The following is a 20,399-nucleotide window of genomic DNA, read 5'->3' as shown; positions in this document are numbered from 1 at the left end:
AGCCATCGGCTCACACATGGCAATATGTCCTTCTCCAAAGTCCTTTTGCTTCTTGGTGTTTTGTGGTCTGTTTCTTGCCAACAGCTTAGTCCTATTTTCTGTATTTTCTTTAAAGGGTATGAATTTGGTTGGGTGTGGTGGCTCACGCCTGTAATCCTAACACTTTGGAAGGCCATGGTGGATGGATAGATTGAGGTCAATAATTCAAGACCAGCCTGGGCAAATAGTAAGACATTGTCTCTACAAAAACTTTAAAAAAAAAGTAAAAAATAAAAACACTAGCTGGGCATGGTGGCATACACCTGGGTCCCAGCTACTTGGGAGGCAGAAGTAGGAGGATTCCTTGAGCCCAGGAGATTGAGGCTGCAGTGAGCCATGATTACACCACTATACTCCAGCCTGGGTGATAGAGTGAGACCCTGTCTCAAAAAAAAAAAAAATTTCCATTTGATTACAGAATGCCTATTTTACTCATTCATGCTGATAACTGTAGGTTTATTCCATCAGAGAGACAATGTCTGGTTTAATTAAGGCCATCACTGATCAAAGAAAATTTTTGGACTTTTTTGGATTGAACTAATTTGGGGACATTCTGGGCTTTAGGATAGAGTCAAAAAATAACTTTGTTATGTACAAAGCCATAGTTTCCTGATCTCATCCTATTTTATGGACAATAACATATTTATAGATTGTACCTTTTTTTTAACTGGGGTTTTACAAGTCACTATAATAAGCCATAAATATATGTATATGAAACACTTCACTCTTTCAAGTCACATGCTATAAAATGAGTTTTATGTGGTCATATCTATATTATATCCTATCCAGTGTCTTTTACTGCAGAATACACATAGTTTAAAACTAAGAAACATCTGACAGGAAAATCAGTATCTTTTATGATCTGCATAAACTTTTTAATGTAATTTAAGAAAAATCAGTGCCAAAAATGATACTTCAAAGATAACAGAAGATTCAGAACGTAATGGGTTACAACAGTTCCAAAAAGACCACATTGTAAGGTTATCTTACTAGAATACGGTCTCTGACACATTTAATTAACATTCTGTTTTATTTCAGTGGGGTTACAGTGGAGAGGATTACAAATAAATGCCCTCGTCCACTAACAAAGAGCAGCATTGAGGCTTATTCTGAAAATCCAGTCCTGAATGGGCTGACACACCTAAAACAATCTTTGGAATACACCTCAAGTTAAAGAAAAACCCAGAAGTCATTTGGCCCTCCCCTCAATAAGCTCTGCGGCATTCATATGACCCCCAGGCAATACTCCCATCTTCTTTCACCCAAGGGGAAGGGTCATGGAGGGAACCGGTGTCTGCTTCCTCATCTGGGGAGAGTGGCCCCACCTTGGGCGGTAGGTCATTTGACACCGTCATGAAAGGGGTGAAGGGGTAAGGAGGCGGGGTAGGGTACCCCGGAGTGTGGTGCAGATCTTCCAGAGCATGCAGCGAGTATGACTGAGCCCCAGCCAGGGATGACCCCCAGCTTGAGCCCCTGTGCTGGGCGATGCTCCCGGACTCAAGCTGGGAGAGGCAACTCGTGCTGGGTGGCAAGGTCAGCAGGGCATCGGCAGACACAGGGTCAGGCTGGCTGAGACCGTCAGGCAACGTCTGCTCCCATGAGTCCCTCTGAGGAGAATGGAAAGGCCACGGAGGTTATTCACTAGGTGACACTCTGATGATACATTGTGTGCTGCCAGACTGTGGCTTCAGGGCAGCCTTCGTCCCCTCTCTCTGCTGCCTGAAGCCTGGCTCTCAGGCTGCTCTTCTCTCCGGCTTTTGACACCAGCAGTGAAAGTTTTCCTCCCTTCCTACTCTAGAATTAGATTTGCTATAGATATTGAGATTCCTTTTCCCAGAAGACAACATTAAATGAGTGAAATGTGAGACTAATAAAATGCACATGTATGCAACATTTTACTGTGTGCAATGCACTCTGTCTTGGATTCTTTTTGAGTCTCCCATTAGTCTGGGTCCTAGAATGCCATTTACACAGTGGGGAAGGTCAGCGCTTGGCCCACTCCTCGGAGTAGGCCTTCAACTCCATGGTGAATTTTTGAGGGGACTGAGAAGCCCACTCTGTCCTCATTAAAGCAGGAGGAAAGAGGTAGGAATCCCGTAAGTTTGGAGCTAGAAAGATTTGGATTCATTCGTGGCTCCTCCTGACTCTGAGCCCGACATTGCTCATCTGTAAAATGGGACTTTCATAAATATATCCTGAGTTGTTGCAAGTATTGAATGAACACATCACATTTCCTGGCATAGAGTATACTTAATAATGTGAATTCTCATCCTCTCCCTTTTGTCTAAACTCCTGTCTTTAGAGCTTCATTACTTTGTGGTAGAAACCTTTACTATTCTCTATGAGCATTAGCAATCTTCAGATCTTTATGAACTCACCTGTTTGGAAGGATTGAGAGAGAACAAGGATTTTTAGGCTAAAAATGTGGGGAAGGGGAGGCAGGGGACTTGGAAAGAAAGAGGAGCCCTATGTACCCTCCTTGGGAGATTATGATCCATCTCATTACTGCCTAGCATGTCTGAGATGCAGCTTCAGTGTTCCTTCCTTAGGGGCTGCAGGAATGATGACGACTGGCACTAACAGGGTGGGGGAACATCAGGCAATATCAGTAGAGCATTAACAAAATGGATATAAATCCTGCTGCACATTCCTCCCGGTTCCAAGCCCTGCGTAGACGCTCCTGGCTGTCATGGCTAACAGGGATCCTTGAACAAGGCTCCCTCGGAGGGTGTCCTGGCATCTCTAGGCAGCTGCAAAGCAGCCTCTGGAGTCTACAGGGTGAGCCAGACCTGGCTTCAACCCGGATGCCAAGCACAGCGGCTGGCCAGAGGGCGAGCCTCGCCCCTCTTTTACTCCCTCACACGAGGTCTCTGCATACTCACAAATAGGAAGTGAGCTGGGTCTCCGGGGAAGGGCGGTGGCAGGAGCGGCGGTAGGGGCGAGGCGCTGAACAGAGAGCCCGCGTTGGGCGTCAGCGCCGGAGGCCGGTAGTCTCCGTAGGGCTCCTGGGGGAAGTAGGGCTCCAGGAGAGCCGCATGGCTCTGCCCTGCGGAGGACTCACAGGGAAACGGCTTCCCCACGCTGGAGGTGTAGACGTCATTTGAAAACTGTTTACTGTTGTGGAAGTCTGAGTCAGATAAGAAAGATCTTCTGACACCGTAGTAACCTGACGTGACCGGCGAACCTGTTGCCAAATGAAAAACACATGGGCAGAAAATTCCTCCCAGGGCGGTCAAGGCCTCGGTTGCAGCTGAGTCTCTGCCTGGGAAACGATGTTACTAACGCGTGCCTGACTCCAACGCTAACATGGAAATAGAGAAATGTCTTGAAAAGCGTGAAATATTCCTGCATTAGCCCAAATAACTAACGTTTGAAAACATTGTCGCCTTTAGGGGTGAGTTCATTTTAGACAGTACCGTGTCTGTTCATTCATTCACATTTACTGAGTACCTTCCCGGTGACCGGCGCTGTGCTAGGAAGACATAAATGAAATAATCTCTTGGCATTCATATTTTAACCAAGGAAGCATCTTTTTCACAACATCGGAGCTACCTCTCCATATACATAGAACTGTTAACAAGAGGTGCTCCTGGCCTGTTATCTGAGATCGCTATGTCTGGATAAGGTAACACATATAACCCCACCTCAAAGAGGCAGGCTGTACTCTGCCTTCTAATTCTTCACACATTGACCTTACACTGGGTCGCACGCCTGGCAGACATCAATAAATGACTTTCTTTAGGATTAGATGGCCACACAGAAGCCAATTTTAGAGGCCTGTAGTTTTAGGGTTTTGATGAGTTTTATGTTATTTGCTGCCCTCTTGTGGCCTCATGGACTCCTTCACTCAACTCACCAGGGCCCAGCACGTTTAGGAAGACAGTGCCGGCTACATAAAGTTTCCCTTGGTGGTGCAGGCTCGGTGGCTCACACCTGTAATCCCAGCACTTTGGGAGGCCCAGGCTGGCGGATCACGAGGTCAAGAGATTGAGACCATCCTGGCCAACATGGTGAAAACCCATCTCTACTAAAAACAATACAAAAATCAGCTGGGCCACCATGCCTGTAATCACAGCTGCTGTAGTCCCAGTTACTCAGGAGGCTGAGGCAGGAGAATTACTTGAACCCGGGAGGTGGAGGTTGCAGTGAGCTGAGATCTCGCCCAGAGCAAGAGTCCGTCTCAAAAAAAAAAAAAAAAAAAGTAAAAAGTTTTCCTTGGTGGAGAGAGGGAGGGACAGAAACTGATAAGAGCTTCATTTAAGGTAAGCCCAGCAGTGAAATGGTTTCCAAGGAAAAAGGTGTGTTTGCTCAACACTTTCTGACCCCGTAGCTCAGTTGTAGCAGAAAACACTGATCATTCAGAACATGTTTGAGGGCATAGACTTGAGGTCTATAAAACTGATGGTTTAATTGTTCCAGCTGGCCTTGGGTGTGATCTAATGCTAACACCAACACCCTTAGGTCATAGGTCACAAAAAGGCTGAACTGGGGAGAAGATATAAGTGCCTGTCTTCCTTACCTTACCCCAACCACAGCAGCAGACCACTTCTGAGCTTCTGATTCTATAGACACAGAATTCCAGCCCGTTCCACAGGATGTGGCACTTTATATTATGCTCATTCCTCTTTCACCTGAGTCACAATGATCTTTCCAGTCAACCTGCGAGCCCAAGGGGGCAGATCTCATGCCTTATACATTTTCTTTAAACCTAGTAGTATAACATTGTGTTCAAGAATGGCATGTGAATTTATTCATCCAGAAGAAGAAATCAAAATTCCCCATCAAAACCTGTGGCACGACTCCACTCACTTCACTTTCATCTTACATTCTATAACTTCTAACCTGCTCATGCATTTGAAAGCTGAAGTTAGGGTTTTCATTATAAGCATACTTCCTTGGGAAAAAATCTGTGCAGCTGAACCTTAATATAAATAAATAAGGTTCTGTTTCATACAATGAAATTATATTTATGAGAGCGGTTAAGGTTGAGAATATGAAAACAAGGTTTCCAGGCTCTCATCTATACTCCCAATTTCCAAATCAAAACAACCACGAAGAAAAAAGCCTCTGCTCTCTTAGCATGGATTTTCTCTGTACAAAGAGAAAGGATAATTTCTAGATAAAGAGAAGCTATGGAAATTTTTCTTTTTTTTTTCTGTAGAAGGCAGGAGATGCCACCAAATTTCAATGGCACTATATATGATTGGGAAACAACATACAGACATTTAAATATTCGGGATCCTCGATTGCTCTTATTCCTTTCCCTTATCCAGCTCTGAAGGTGATAAAACTATTAGGGAATGTGCCGCGTCTGAGTTGAACTAAATGAGATTGTCTTTGCCTGTGTGGTGTGTGTTTATACAAGAATGTCCAACAGTATTATTAGGAATTCCCCTTTTACATCCCCACAGGAGTATTTAATGAGACATAGGCATTGAAATGAATTCAAAATACTGAACCAAATGCCTGACTCCCTCTGCTCGCAGACGGCTTTCCCCTTTCTGTTTGAAAGCAGATGCCTCATCTATCAGATCATGGTGTCAGAACTTTAGACAATTTAAAACTGTATCAAGGGCATAATTTATATTGCCTTTGCCCCAAAAGCTTGGGATAAAAGGGCTGCTTTCAAGACAAAATGAATTTTAAATTCAGAAATTACTGCATGAGTTCTGTCCTTCGCTGATTTTGTATTTTAGACAAAACTATTTTAAAGGAGCAGAGTTTTGGAAGTGTTGTAAGGTCGTTATGAAAGAATGGAAGCCCAGATGCTTGATTTAAATTCAAAAGGGAATAATTGCTTATTGAATTAAAGTACTCACCTGGCATCTGCACAAATGGAGACTGAGAGGAACTGACGCTGCCCTGGAAGGTAAACAGAATTCAAGTGTTTTCTTTAGTTGTAAGTTTGAATTTAATAAAAATTAGGAATACACCTTATAAGCTTGGTTTTATGATATTCAGAAGTATTATCTGGGGAGTTGGGTTGACCCTCAGGTCAACTGAGAATAAGAATTCAAGTACCATAGAACAAAGTTTTACAAGGGACAAAGAGCAACCACACTTTTACATTTTGATAAACATGCCAGAAAGCACTGGCTGGATGAAATGTAGTAATTTATCCTTCATCTTCTACTGTTCCAGTTAACATTCCCTCATCCAATATATATTAAGTGACTATATATACGCATATCCAGTAGCCTCCCCTTACCCACGAGGGATATGTTCCAAGACTCCCCAGTGGGTTCCTAAAACTGAGGATAGCACCACACCTGATTGCCATCATGTCCTCCACCCACAAACTCAATGCCTTTTCCATCTTAGCTAAGAATTTATCATGCATTGTGGCCACAGTTTTGCAGTTCGAGGTGCAACAGCAAAACTCGCATGAATTTCTTTCGCCTTCTTCACAATTTCACAGACAAAAGATTTGTTCTTACCATACCAATGTCTGACCTCAGCATACATTTTTTTTCTTTCCTTATTAAGTTGAGAACGTTTACTTTTTCATTTAAAGGAAGCACATTCCGGCTTCTCTTTGGCATATCTAAATTGCCAGTGTCACTACTCTTGTGCTTTCGGGCCATTGTGAAATACAATAAGGGTGACTTGAACACAAGCACTGCCATACAGAGACAGGTGATCCAATCACTGAGTCGGCTACTGAGACACTAACGGGCAGGTGGTGTAGACAGTGTGGATTGGCTGGACAAAGGTAAGATTCAAGTCCTGGGCAGCACAGAGTGGGACTGAATGAAATTTCATCACACCACTGAGAAAGGCATGCCATTTAAGATCTAGAAATTGTTTATTTCTGGAATTTCGCATTTAGTATGTTCAGACTGCAGTTAACCATGAGTAGCTGAAACCTCAGAAAGGGAAACCATGGCTAAGGGGCGCCTACTGTATGTGTGTATGTGCATACATGCACTTAGTGTTTGGCTTCAGCACTGAAGGGCCACTTCAATGTTTACTGTCTGAATCCATGTGGAGGAAGAAGCTCCACCAACTGTAGGGACCTTGACTGTGATGTGCCCTCAGTGCCTAGAACAGGGTGTAGTTCATAATAGACGTAAGAAAAATATGTGGAATGAAGACACAATCTTCAAAGAACCCACAGGCTAGAGAGCAGGGAGAGGTTGGGGAATGTGGTGGGTTGCATTATGTGCCCCCTCCAAAAGATATATATATATATATATATATATTTTTTTTTTTTTTTTTTGAGATGGAGTCTCACTCTCTCACCCAGGCTATAGTGCAATGGCACGATCTCGGCTCACTGCAACTTCCACCTCCCGGATTCAAGTGATTCTCCTGCCTCAGTCTCCTGAGTAGCTGGGATTACAGGCACGCACCACCACACCTGGCTACTTTTTGCATTTTTAGTAGAGATGGGTTTCACTGTGTTGGCCAGGCTGGTCTCGAACTCCTGACCTCAGGTGATCTACCTGTTTCGGCCTCCCAAATTGCTGGAATTTCAGGCATAAGCCACCCAAAGTTATATTGATACCTTAATCCCTGATACCTGTGAATGTGACGGTATTTGCTAATAGGGCTGTTAAAGATGTAACTACTTAAATTAAGATGAGGTCATATTAAATTAGGGTGGGTCCTAAATCTCATGTGACTGATGTCCTAATAGGAAGAGGAGAGGGACGCACAAAGACACAGATGCAGATGGGACAAGGTCATGTGAAGACAAAGGCAGCAGTTTGAGTGATACAACCTCAAGCCAAGGAACATCGAGGATCACCAGTGACAACTGCCAGCTAGGAAGAGGCAAGGAAGGATTCTCCCCAGAGGCTCCAGAGGGAGCATGGCCCTGCTGACACCTTGATTTTGGACTTCTAGCCTCTAGAGCTATCTATGAGATGATACATTTCTGTTGCTGTAAGTCATCCCATTTGTGGTAACTTGTTACTGCAGCCCTAAGACACCAATACAGGGGTGATTGATGACAAAACAGAATATTCGGTGTAGTATGAGAAGTGGCAGGGTCAGGGAAAGATGGGGTGATGCGGGCACCTAAACTGGTGTCAAGAATGGGGTGGGAGACACATCTTGCAGGATGCAGTGCCTAAGCTGACCTCTGAAGGAAGAGTATCTAGGCGTGTAGAGTCTTAAAATACGCAAATCATGGCTCCGAGATGTCCTGGAGCAAAGTAAGTGGAGAGGGTGTAGCTTCTGTGGAAGTTAAGAATCCTCAACATCCAGTTCATTGAATCCGAGCTCTTTTGCAGTGACTTTAATGATTCTATAGACTCTCAAGAGTTGGAAGAAATTTTATAGAGTCTCATTCAATGATTACATTCTCTCCATATTACTAACACCAGGTGCATCTAATATCCAGGCACACAGAACTTAGCACCCTCTGAGGAAACCCATTTCTTCTTTAGGAACTTTTACCAATTACAAAGTTGGCTGGAAAGAATAACTTTCTAGTTCTAATCCCTTTGGTCTTTATAGAATAAGTTTAACACTTCTTGCATACACAGCCCTTCAAATATCTGAAGACAAGCCTATGAAAAATACCATAGACTGCATGGCTTAAATAACAAAAATTTATTTCTCACAGTTCAGGAGACTGGAAGTCTGAGATCTAGGTGTGGTTTTTAGTGCGGGCCCTCTTTCTGGTTTGCAGAAAGCTGGCTTCTCACTGTGTGTTCACATGGCTGAGAGAGAGAGAGAGAGAGAGAGAGAGAGAGACAGAGAGAGAGATCATCTCTCTGGTGTCTCTTCTTATAAGGACACTAATCCCATTAGAGGGATTCACCTGCAAGATCTAATTACCTCCCAAAGGCCCCTTCTCCAAATGCCATCACACAGGGGATTAGCACCTCAACATTTGAATTTTAGGGGAATGCAAACGTGCAATTGCAATCTGTAATATCAACCTCGAGTTCGAACTTCTCCAGGCAAAATATCTTCCAACAACTCAGAAGCAGCATGGTAATTAAGAGTAAAGCCTCTGGAACCAGAGTGACTACATTTGAATCCCAGCTCTACCTCTTATTAGCTGTGGGATCTTGGGCACATGAAGATTAAATGAGATTATTACATCGAGCACTTAGAATAGTGTCTGCCACATGGTAAACAGCATATGTGCCTTAGCTATTATTACTATTATGCATTTGTTGGTTCCTTCAAATCTGTGGTATATTTCTCCAAACCTTTTGATTTATGGGTTTTCCTGTTTAATATTTTAACACTTTTAAGTGGCAGAAGGGAACTCTCGGGCATGTAATGGTCAGAAGTAGGTCCCTTAATATTTCTATGAGAAGGAAAGGGGCAGTGATTAAATCACAGATGCACTTGTATTTGGGCACATATTCCCATGTAGCAGGCGCCCATGTTATCCAGTGTTACCCTCCCATTTTCAGCTCTGTGGTGTGGCTGGGTCTTTCCTTGAAGATCTGTGCCAACACATATGTCTTCTGGCTTCAGCCTCAGCCTCCTTCCAGGTTAAGTAGGATGTGCCAGGGGGTGGTAGCTGTCCTGGGTGCCGCCCAGGGAGATGTCCCATTGTTCTTCTCCCACCTTCTCTTCCTGCCTGCTTCCCTTAAACTGCTCTGGCCAAGGCTGGGGCCAGGATCAAGGCCCCTGTGAGACACAGCACACATGCCCAATCCGATGAGCATCAGCATCAGCACCCTATTTGCCCTCAGCATGTTAGCCATTTATTTATCAGCTGGAGTGGCTCTGCCTCCTGCCTCTGCCCCAGGCAGGGAGAGAGCCCAGTCTATGTCATTGTGGCTGACACAGCCCCTTCACCTTTTGACATATCTGCTCTAAAAGTTTTTCTGTCTTTCTCCTCTACTGCCAGCAATCTCCAGCATCTTCTACGATGCCTCCTCCATCTTCTGCCCAGGCCTAATTATTACTGTGGAACTGACAGTACCGACTCCTCCCCAGCCCAATTTTTATACCAGAAGACTCTACAAAGATTTCACAATTAAAGGTCTAGTGGATTTTATTTATTACTTGATGAAGCTTTTTGTACTCTTGTCTCCTATGTGATTTTGTTCTCTACCTGCTGTGGAAATTGTACTCTCTGTTTTCATTCTTTATGATTACCCTTACAATTTTACCATGTATATTTAACAAAACCTACAAACAATATCTTAAACCTGCAATTGACAGATAAGAACTGTCCCTCTTCTAATTTATGGGTGTGCTATTCTCTTTTCTTTTAGCTTGTTTTTTGTTATTAAGCTGTCACAAATTAGACATCAATATCATCATTTAATTCAGTAATTCTGTATTAGATTTACTAATTTGAATTAAGGTTCAAATGTCTACCATTTGCTTTGCTTATTCCTTTCCCAGACTTTCTTTCTAGGTTCATTTCCTTCTTCTGAAGTAATTTTTTGGAAAATTCCTTAAGTGTCAGTGGTGTTGACAGTAAACTCTTTCAATTTCTATTTATCTGAAAATATTATTTGTTTTGACTTTGTATTTGAAAGATAATACCGCTGGATTCACCATTTTAACTTTGTAGTTTTTTTTTTTTTTCTTAGCACTTTGAAGATGTCATTCCACTGTCTTTTAGCTTCCACAATTGCTGTTGAGGCGTCTGCTATTGGTCTTTTATACCATTATCTTTTTTTTTCTTTTTTTTTTTGTGATGGAATCTCACACTGTCACCCAGGCTGGAGTGCATTGGCACAATCTCAGCTCACGGCAACCTCCGCCTCCTGGGTTCAAGCGATTCTCCTCTCTCAGCCTCCCAAGTAGTTGGGACTACAGGCATGTGCCACCATGTCCAGCTAATTTTTGTACATATATATATATATATATATATATATATATTTTTTTTTTTTTTTCTTTTTAGTAGAGATGGGGTTTCACCATGTTGGCCAGGATGGTCTCAATCTCTTGACCTTGTGATCCACCTGCCTTGGCCTCCCAAAGTGCTGGGATTACAGGTAGGAGCCACCGCGCCCGGCCAGTATCTGCTATTGGTCTTTCAGTTATTCTTTGTGACAATCTTTTCCTTATTTCTGACTGTTTCCAATATACTCCCTTGGTCTTTGAGGTTCTTCAAGTTCACCTCATTTTATCTAGAGGCAGATTTCTTTTTATTTATCTTGCTTGATAGAATGGGCTTCATGAATCTAGGGATTCATGTCGTTCATAAATTCTGAAAAAATGTCAGCCATCATCTCTTCAAATATTGTCTTGTCTTTATTATGACTGTTCTCTCCTCCTGGGACTCTGTTTAGATACATGTTAGAACTTTTACTATTATCCTCAAAATCCCTTAACCTCTCTATTTTCTCTGTGTCTGTGATTCTTTCTTCTATATTTTGGTAGAGATTGGCATAGATTTCTTCAGATGTGTTTTCAGTTCACTAATTCTTTATTCAACTGTAGTTAATTTGTTATTTAACTCACACATTGAATTTTTATATTCATGATTTTATATTTTTTTATTTCTATAAATTCCATTTGATTTTTAGAATCTATTTGGTAAATTTTGACAGCCTCTTGTTGAGTGCTCATTATGTATTAAGTGTTATGTATTTTGTGTTCAGTAATTCTAATATATGAAAGTTCTGGGAATTTAAATTTATTGTCTATTGTTCATGTGGACTCACTCATAGTGGTTTGTTTTCTTACGCATGGGTGATCTTTGATTGAAACTCACATCTTGTTGGCCTAATCTGTGAAGATCTGGGGTCCTGAATTGAGGCTGCTTTCCTCTAGAAGATTTATGTTTCTATCTATGGGGAGCCAGATGCCTTCCAGGTTCCCCACATTAATCCTGGAGTCCAAGGTTCAGCCTCCCAACCCTGGCAACAGGTCAAGAACCAGTCTTCACATGTAAAGCCAATTGGACACCTGTCCTCAGGAAACCTGTCTTTTTGGAATGATCACCTTCTCATCATTTGGTGCTTTGCTTTCTGCTCAAACCCTTTTTCAATCTCCCATGCCAACTTCTGCCCCTACCCCCAGCTTTGGAGATTTCCCTTACTTTCTGCTAGCTCAACAACTCACTAAAATTTGTATTATGTAAGATCCAGTTTTGTTGTGGGAGAGTTCTTCTCAATCCCCTAATACCAGAGTTGAATCTGTAAATATTGAGCCTAGACGTAGATACCTTCCTGGTTTTAACACAGCACAAAGCTTTTATTTTTCCATGACTCCCAACATTTTCCAGCAGACATTTAAATTATAACAGAAGTAATTCATAAGCACTTACTTATAGTAATTTCATAAACACACTGTTGGCCATTGCTATGGTCAACTGTGTTATATGTATCATCTCATTTAATTCTCACGACCATCCCAGAAGATAAGTAATATTATTCTCATTTTGCCAGTGAGGGAACCTAAGCATAGAGAGAATAACCTGATTTCCCTTCTAGGAGAGGATTGGTTGTGGCGATGGTGGTAGTCGGTGGAATTAGACAAGGGCCTTTCTGATATCAGAGCCTGTTTCTTAACCACCGCACCAGTCTGCTTTGGAAGCATTTTAATAACTCAACAATTAAAAATAGAAAAGCATCCTAGTTTGAAAAAATTTAGTATAATGGAGACTTAGGGACATCCAGAGAGATCATTTATTATATAAATTATATAAATTTATATATTATATAAATTATATAAAAGCTCACAAAGAGGATCGGGTGGGGTGCTTTCCTGTCTGTCTGTCTGTCTATCTGTCTCTGTCTCTTTCTCTCTCTTTCTTTCTTACACACACACATGCACACACACACACATCCTTAATCCTTTGAGTGACATTCTACTTTTGAAGGGGTCAGCTTTATTGAGATGTAATTTACATATAATAAAATTCACAAAATTTAAGGGTACAATTTGATGAATTTTGGCAAAATTTGATGAACACTTGTGACCTATCACCACAATCATGATGTAAAACATTTTCATCAGACTAGTCAGTTTATATATATAATTAATGCTGCCCCCTCTGTGGTGACCTGGGAAATATTTTGATGGATAAACACAAAAGTCAGTGATAATGGACCTCTTCAGTTGGTATCACAGACCCTAGAAGACTCCTAAAGGGCCTGCATGGGGCTGGGAAGGGTGCCACTGGTAAGATTTCAGAGCTACCACTTGCTTCTCCATCCCATTTCCAGATTTCACGGGTCAGGAGAGAAAAGCCTAAGCCAGGGTCCTTCAGCATGTGCACTCAATTGTCATTTCCTACGTGAAGGGAAATCTTACATTTCTTTCTTGGTTCAATATATTGTATTCACACAGTTGCCTCTTATCCTGCAAATCCTCCAAAAAATAACATTGAAATTAACATTGAAGAGCCCATAACTTTTGACCAAGCGAGATGGTATATAATTTTTATTTTGCATACTGCAAACAACAGGATCCTGCAATGCCAGCTAGCCAAATTTAGAGGTTTATATTTGAATGAAATTTGCCAGCCTGCAACTTCCTGCAGCTAACACGGCAGGCTCACAGCTGCCCCCAAAGCCCCTCCATGAAAATGAGTTAATTTGAACTAATAGGTCACCAAGGTAGTAAAGTGATAAGATTAGGAGTTTCCCTTGAGTACATTTATAGTCATTTTATTATCCTATAATAATATTTTTAGGTGCCAACCTAGTTGAAGGACATATTGAAATGTACTAAGGAAGTGATGTCTGACTAGCATGACATGTTTCATACTGCTGTATAATTTTATTTCTTAATTCAAATTGAGATAAAATTTAGTTTAGAAAATAAGTCTTCAAACTTAAAGATATTGCTACTAATGCTTAAGTAATAATAATCATAGCCACTTGTGAACAGGTGATATCCCTCTTTGAGATATTCATAGTATTTTATACATTTAATTTTTCATTGTCATCATTTCTATGGTTGTGAGGCAGGTGGAGCTGATGATACCATATTGAACATCTGACACCACATTTTAATGTCTACATTTAGATCCACCATAGGTCATGTGGTTTTCCTCCAACTTTGGAATTAAAGGAAGGTTAATGCTGGATGTTAACACAGTTAGTCTTTAAATGGGCACTGATGTTAGGTTGTAACATCTCCCCAGAAAAAAAAAATGGATATAGAGATTTACATGCCTTAGTTAACAGGAGAAGTATATAGTAGAACCAAGGGCATTTCGGTTGGTGTGAAATCTGGTGTGTTGGCTAAACTATCTCAAACATATCTTATAAATCTTATTACTTTTGAAAAGTTTGAAACAGGTTTTGATTTATAGGCCACTTATCTGAGTTATATATTTGATTGTAAATAAGAAAAATACTCTATAATGAATATAAACTACAGTTATAAGCATCTACTATGCATCAGAAAAGGGGCAAATCAATGTGTGGAGGATTTGAATTGGGTGCTGAAGGCTGAGAGGATGCAGACAGGAGAAAGGAAGCTCCCAGGAAGGAGGAATTTTGTGAACCAAACACAAGGTGGGAAAGCACAGCTCTTCTTCAGGGAATAATAAGCAAGTTGGCTTGTCTAGAGCAGAAGTTTCATTTCATTCATTTTATTAAAATGTATTCTGTGCCTACTCTGCACCAGGATTGTGGTAGTTTCCAGAAATACAAAGAGGAGTAAGACATAGATTCTATTCTCGACAGCACACAGTTTCATCGCAAAAACAGGTGCATAAATATATATGTAATTGGTGCAATAATAGAAATAAGGGTTGTGGTTGAGAAGACTAGCATTTCCTGGTGCCACTTCCCGCCAGACTCTGTGTCTGGCACTTTACATATGTTAGTGTGTCTGTGTGATCATTTTTAGTGACAACTAATGTCTGGGTTCTTTATGTACTCTGTAGAGTGTGAGATGATTTACATGCATTATTTCATTAGATCATCACCATTAACCAATGAGATAGATTGTTATAATCCCTAGCTTATTGATGGGAAAACTAATAGATACTTCTGAAGGACTTGTCCAAGGTCACAAAGCTGCTAAGTGACATAGCCTGAATTCTAAATGTGATTTAGTGCAGGTATGGGGGTGGGGGCAGGGATGAAGTTTGGGGTGGTGATGAGGTGATTTACTGTCCTGGGGGAATGTGATTTAGCACATCAAAACATAGATGATATCTGAGTCTGGTTCTGAAGGCTAGATAAAAGGAAATCAGTTTAAGGGCTATTGTTGCTGGAGGGAGAAGCAAAGGCTCAAAATGTGAGGAACTGCATGTCACATACCTGGAAATGTGGGCAGGAAGTGTGAAGACAAGAAAGCTGAAGAGAAGCTGGAGGAAGATGCAGGAACCAGGTTATAAAGTTCTTTTTTTTGAGATGGAGTTTCACTCTTGTTGCCCAGGCTGGAGTGCAATGACACAATCTTGGCTCACTGCAACCTCCACCTCCTGGGTTCAAGTGATTCTCCTGCCTCAGCCTCCCAAGTAGCTGGGATTACAGGCACCCTTCACCATGCCCGGCTAATTTTTTTTTTTGTATTTAGTAGAGACGGGGTTTCACCATGTTGGGCAGGCTGGTCTCGAACTCCTGACCCCAGGTGATCCACCCACGTTGGCCTCCCAAAGTGCTGGAATTACAGGCGTGAGCCACCATGCCTAGCCTTTTTTGTGCCAGGTACAGTGGTTCATGCCTGTAATCCCAGCATTTTGGGAAGCAGAGGCAGGGGGATCCCTTGAGCTCAACAGTTTGAGACTAGCCTGGGCAAGACAGTGAGACCCCCATCTCCACAAAAAATAAAATAAATTAACTGAGCATGGTGGCACATGCCTGAAGTCCCAGCTACTTGGGAGGCTGAGGCAGGAAGATCTCCCGAGCCCAGAAGGTCAAGGCTGCAGTGAGCCAAATTCATGCCACTGCACTCCAGCCTGGGTAACAGAGTGAGAGCTTGTCTCAGAAAAAAAAGAAAAGAAAAAAAAGAAATAAAAAAGAGTTTTTTTGAGCCACGCTAAGGAACTTAGACTTTGGTAGCAGGCAGTGATCCTTCAGAACTCTCTTTCTTTTTTTTTTTGAGATGGAGTTTTGCTCTTGTCACCCAGGCTGCAGTGCAGCGGCATGATCCCGGCTCACTGCAACCTCTGGCTCCTGGGTTCAAGCGATTCTCCTGCCTTAGCCTCCCGAGTGGCTGGAATTACAGGCATCTGCCACCACATCCAGCTAATTTTCATATTTTTAGTAGAGACGGGGTTTCACCATGTTGGCCAGGCTGGTCTCAAACTCCTGACTTCAGGTGATCCACCCACCTCGGTCTCCCAAAGTGCTGAGATTACAGGCATGAGCCACTGCACCCCGCCCAGAACTTTCTTAGCAGTGTAGACATGGTGAAAATATTGCTCGAGGAAATTTAATCTGGTGCTAAAATGACAGGTTGGAAATGACTGGTGGGGTGAGTGTATGGGTTGTTATAGGTGAATAGAGCCCAGTGATGAGGGTCTGATGGCCCTCAGTAGGGCTGGGATTTCAGAAGGCCAGCAGGTGCCATTTCTACTCACTTCTATTTGGCCTCCTTTTAGAGGATTATCAACAAGGGCTGATACTCTCCCATAGGTGCTGAGGACTGCTGGCCACCTGTCCTGGATGCTGTACAATTTCCAGGGCTCTCTTCCTCTTTTCTTTGTTATCACCAACCTTACTGCTGATACCTGTATGAGAGGCGGCTGGCAGGTCTTCCTCATACTGACATATTTACAAATAAAAAAACCCTACTTTTTATATGACTTAATTTAATGGGGCATGGTATAGGCCCAATTCTAAGGCCAAGAAGAATTTTTGACTGAGGAGGGAATATTGAAACATATATCCTCAAAAGCATTTACCTGTTTCTACAAAGCCTAGGTTATAGGGGATTTATCTTACAAAGAAAGAGTTCATCTGGTTTTGTGCACCCTGTCTCATTATCACCAGCCTTAGGTGACAGTAAGGGCTATGTTATTGACATAAAAAGATTAAGTGATTTGCTCAAGGCTTTCAAATGTGTAGGGGTAAAATGAAAACTAAAAGCCATGTTTAAATTCTCTCTCAGGAAGGGATTTTGCCACAAAAACATTAATTTATGCATTTTTTGTAATAGTGCATGTAATTATCTAACAAATTTTGGTATTCATTAACTTGTTGGTGCAACAACTTAATTTCTCTTTAATAAAATGCCATAGCAAATTTTCTGGGAGAATTTACATGAAACTCACTGGGGTGGCCTTTGGGATGTAGGACAAGAGAACTGGGGACAGGGAAGACTTCAGTGAGCTTCTGCTTTTCACTTTAACTCTTATTCTGTCTGAAATTTTACACTGAATTTCTTTTGTAATTAAAGCAACTATTTAACAAAAATTAATAAATAGACTTTAGGTCATATATTTATTGCAAATCTCAAATCTTTTGAAAACTGTGATGTCAACTGTCTTCAATTGCTGGGATATAAACTATTTTATGTCATTTGGAAAGCTCAGATGGTTGCAGAATTCCCATTTTCAGATAATTTCTTAAAATTTTACTGTTAAAACTCTCCTGCTTGGCACAAAATAATGTTCAGGCTGTCTCTGTGAGAAAGTGATTTCTGTTGCCTAAGTTACAAAATGAAACACATTTTTTACCCCTGGATCTTGGCATGCCTTTGGAATGCTATTTGTATTTATGTAGCTAAGTTAGAACAACAGGAGTCACTGAGATGCACTTTGGTCAGAACAGAATCTGCAGAACTACATCCCTGCCAGATGGACTTGCCACGGCTGTTCCGCTGCAAAAACTGATTATTTTTGCAAGCTGCATGAAAGAATTCACCACCAGGAATTATTTTAAATTTTATGACATTAAAAAAACCCTGCAGAACCAATAGAGCAGCTGAAAAAATAAGTTGCTTGCAAAAGGTTTGCCTTTATTATTATTTTAAAAATTTCTGTGATTGTGAGGGAGCAGGTGGTTGGGTGGGGAACACAGAAAGCACTGGGAATGTGGTTCAGATCTCTAAACAGGGCAGGACAGTGGGCTAATTAAAGTCAGACAATAGGCCATTTAGAAAGGCTTAGTAAAGCATTCATTCAAATGAATGCCAAGAATATAGTGTGTACCTCTGTATTCAAACATTGGTGTTTTGAGTTTACTAGACACTGCCTCCTCGGAAGATTTTTTTTTTCTTTTTAAATTCTTTGTAGGCTCGTGGAGGGGGTTAGCTGGCCGTGTTAACAAGCAATATGCAAAGCACTGTGCTATGAGATGGAGCAAAAGGTATAGGGAGATGTTCCCAGGGTGAATACTGATTCCCTTTATCAATAACCTTGCAAAATTTCAAATGAGAAATAGATTCTTCTGCTGGCATTCATGAAAAAGTAGCAAGGATAAATAAGATATATTTATTAAAGGAAAATTGCAGGTTTCTTAAGAGCCTTAGCAGTCAAACACAAAGAGAACAACAGGGATTTCTAAAAATTTAAGAAAAATAAAGATAATATGGAAAGAAATAAAAAGCTAAGAGAAGAAAAGAAAAGTAAAGAGGCTGGGTGCGGTGGCTCATGTCTGTAATCCCGGCACTTTGGGAACCTGAGGCGGGTGGATCACCTGAGGTCAGGAGTTCAAGACCGGCCTGACCAATACCGTGAAACCCCGTCTCTACTAAAAATACAACAAACAAACAAACAAACATAGCCAGGCATGGTGGCGTGTGCCTGTAGTCCCAGCTACTTGGGATCCTGAGACAGGAGAATTACTTGAACCCAGGAGGTGGAGGTTGCAGTGGGCCGAGATCATGCCATTGCACTTCAGCCTGGGCAACAGAGCGAGACTCCATCTCAAAATAAAATAAAATAAAATAAAATAAAATAAAATAAAATAAAATAAAATAAAATAAAATAAAATAAAATAAAAAAAGAAAAATGTAGCAATAACCAATAAAACACACATTGGGCCACCTGATGCCCATTTGCTGTGCCCAGGGAGACACAACAATCTTACTAAAATCAAAACATGTTGTAGGGTCGGTTCAGGTTATGAGTTGAAGAGGTGAAAAATAATTTTTATGGTAAATTTTAAGAAATCAGAGAAGACCGTATTTCCTGTAATTGCAGTGGTGCCAACTGTTTGGCACTCATACCTGCAGAGCTCGGGATGCCTCGGTCCAAAGCTTACCCTTTTTCCCATCACAGATTCAATATACTATCCACATGTTATGTTCTCAGGTGTGACAATATGCTGATGGTTGTGGAGGCTGTGATTTCTTCCTTGGATTTATGTATGACCAACTCCTTAATTTTAAGGCCTGTGTACCAGTTTTTGCTCTTACCTGTATTCGACTTCTTCTTCTTTTGGCATTTTCATTGTTGTTTAGCACCACCATTAGAATGCCAAAGAGCAGTAGTATGGTATTAGATTTCTACATTAGTAAAGGGTTCTATCTGTTTCTAGCATGGAATACTAATAATTGGCTTAGTATCTAGGAAATGAGGGCATTGGTAGTCTTCCTCTCCCCATGTTTTCTCATATTTCATAAGAAGGTAAAGCCTTAAGGAAAGTATTCTCCCCTTTCCTTATCAGCTGTTATATTTATTGAGAATATATGTAAGGCTCCACAGTGTGTACAACTATGAGAGAATTCCAGACACCACGGGGGCTGGGAGAGCATTGAAGGGGTGGGTCACCAGAGACAGCAGGTCAATTGATCTGGTAAACTCTATGTTTCACTGGGCTCAGGAATCTCTTCCAGCCCTCGAAAGGGGGCTGATATTGTCTCTGCCTTCTAAAGTGGAAGAAGTGGCATTCTGCATCCAGTCCCATGAGTGAGCCATGGATGCCAGCCTCTCAAATAACTTGCCGATATTCAGAAAAGAAATCCAAAGACATGCCAGGGGAGTAAGCTTCAGGTAAGAAGAAAAGCTCAGAGAGAAATGGGTCATGTGAGTAGGCCCCAGAGGTCTCTAGAGAACAGAAAAGAGGCTTCTGCAAGGTCAGGACGGCACACTCTGACTCCGGTTCAGGAAGCGATTTCCTCTCAGACAGAGAGGGCCAGGTGCCACATAGAGCCCTACGAGGCCAGGGGGTCCAGGAGTGGTGGAGAATGACCAAGAGGGACTCTATTCAGTGTTCTCCATATATTCCCCCCACTGGATGCAGCTGTTTCTGGGACAGAAAGCAGGTTCTGGGATAGAACTGGAGATAAATTCTATAAGGAAATTGAAAACTTCTTGGGTCCAGTGTCTTCTAAGATGTCTGAGTATCGTAGGAAAGGAAGGTCCTGGTACTGGTTTGGGCTGGGTGTGGCATCATCTCTTGAACAGTCTACAGGCACACTGTGGGGCTGATTGGGGAGACAAATGTGTTCCCGAGAGGGAGCAAAAGTCATAATTGGGGCCACCCATCACACAGGAAATCTGGAGGGTGACATGAGAGCTGAGCAGGAGGGCCTGAAGCAGAGTGACCACTCCAAAGCTCACCCATCCTTGGGCTGGA

At 41.8% G+C, this 20,399-nt stretch overlaps 1 protein-coding gene across 2 annotated transcripts in view; it reads right to left on the bottom strand.

The window, feature by feature from the left end:
- Positions 1 to 897: 897 nt before the first annotated feature.
- POU2AF2 (POU class 2 homeobox associating factor 2) overlaps positions 898 to 20,399 on the bottom strand; it is a 40,677-nt gene continuing 21,175 nt past the window's right edge. Inside the window, exons 1-4 of one of the 2 annotated variants that reach the window (XM_011542804.3) lie at positions 19,237 to 19,297; positions 5,859 to 5,901; positions 2,922 to 3,223; positions 898 to 1,646 (exon numbers count right to left, since the gene is read on the bottom strand). In XM_011542804.3, coding sequence (XP_011541106.2) covers positions 1,245 to 1,646; positions 2,922 to 3,223; positions 5,859 to 5,901; positions 19,237 to 19,290 — 801 coding nt within the window. In that variant the 5' untranslated portion in view covers positions 19,291 to 19,297 and the 3' untranslated portion in view covers positions 898 to 1,244. Of the gene's footprint in view, positions 1,647 to 2,921; positions 3,224 to 5,858; positions 5,902 to 19,236; positions 19,298 to 20,399 lie in introns of those variants that run through there. The other variant, NM_198498.3, reaches the window with a different exon arrangement.

This window comes from Homo sapiens, chromosome 11 (assembly GCF_000001405.40).
Source record: "Homo sapiens chromosome 11, GRCh38.p14 Primary Assembly".
NCBI lineage: Eukaryota > Metazoa > Chordata > Mammalia > Primates > Hominidae > Homo > Homo sapiens.
The sequence above is the reverse complement of the archived record's forward strand: the minus strand, read 5'-3'. Positions and strand labels throughout refer to the sequence as shown.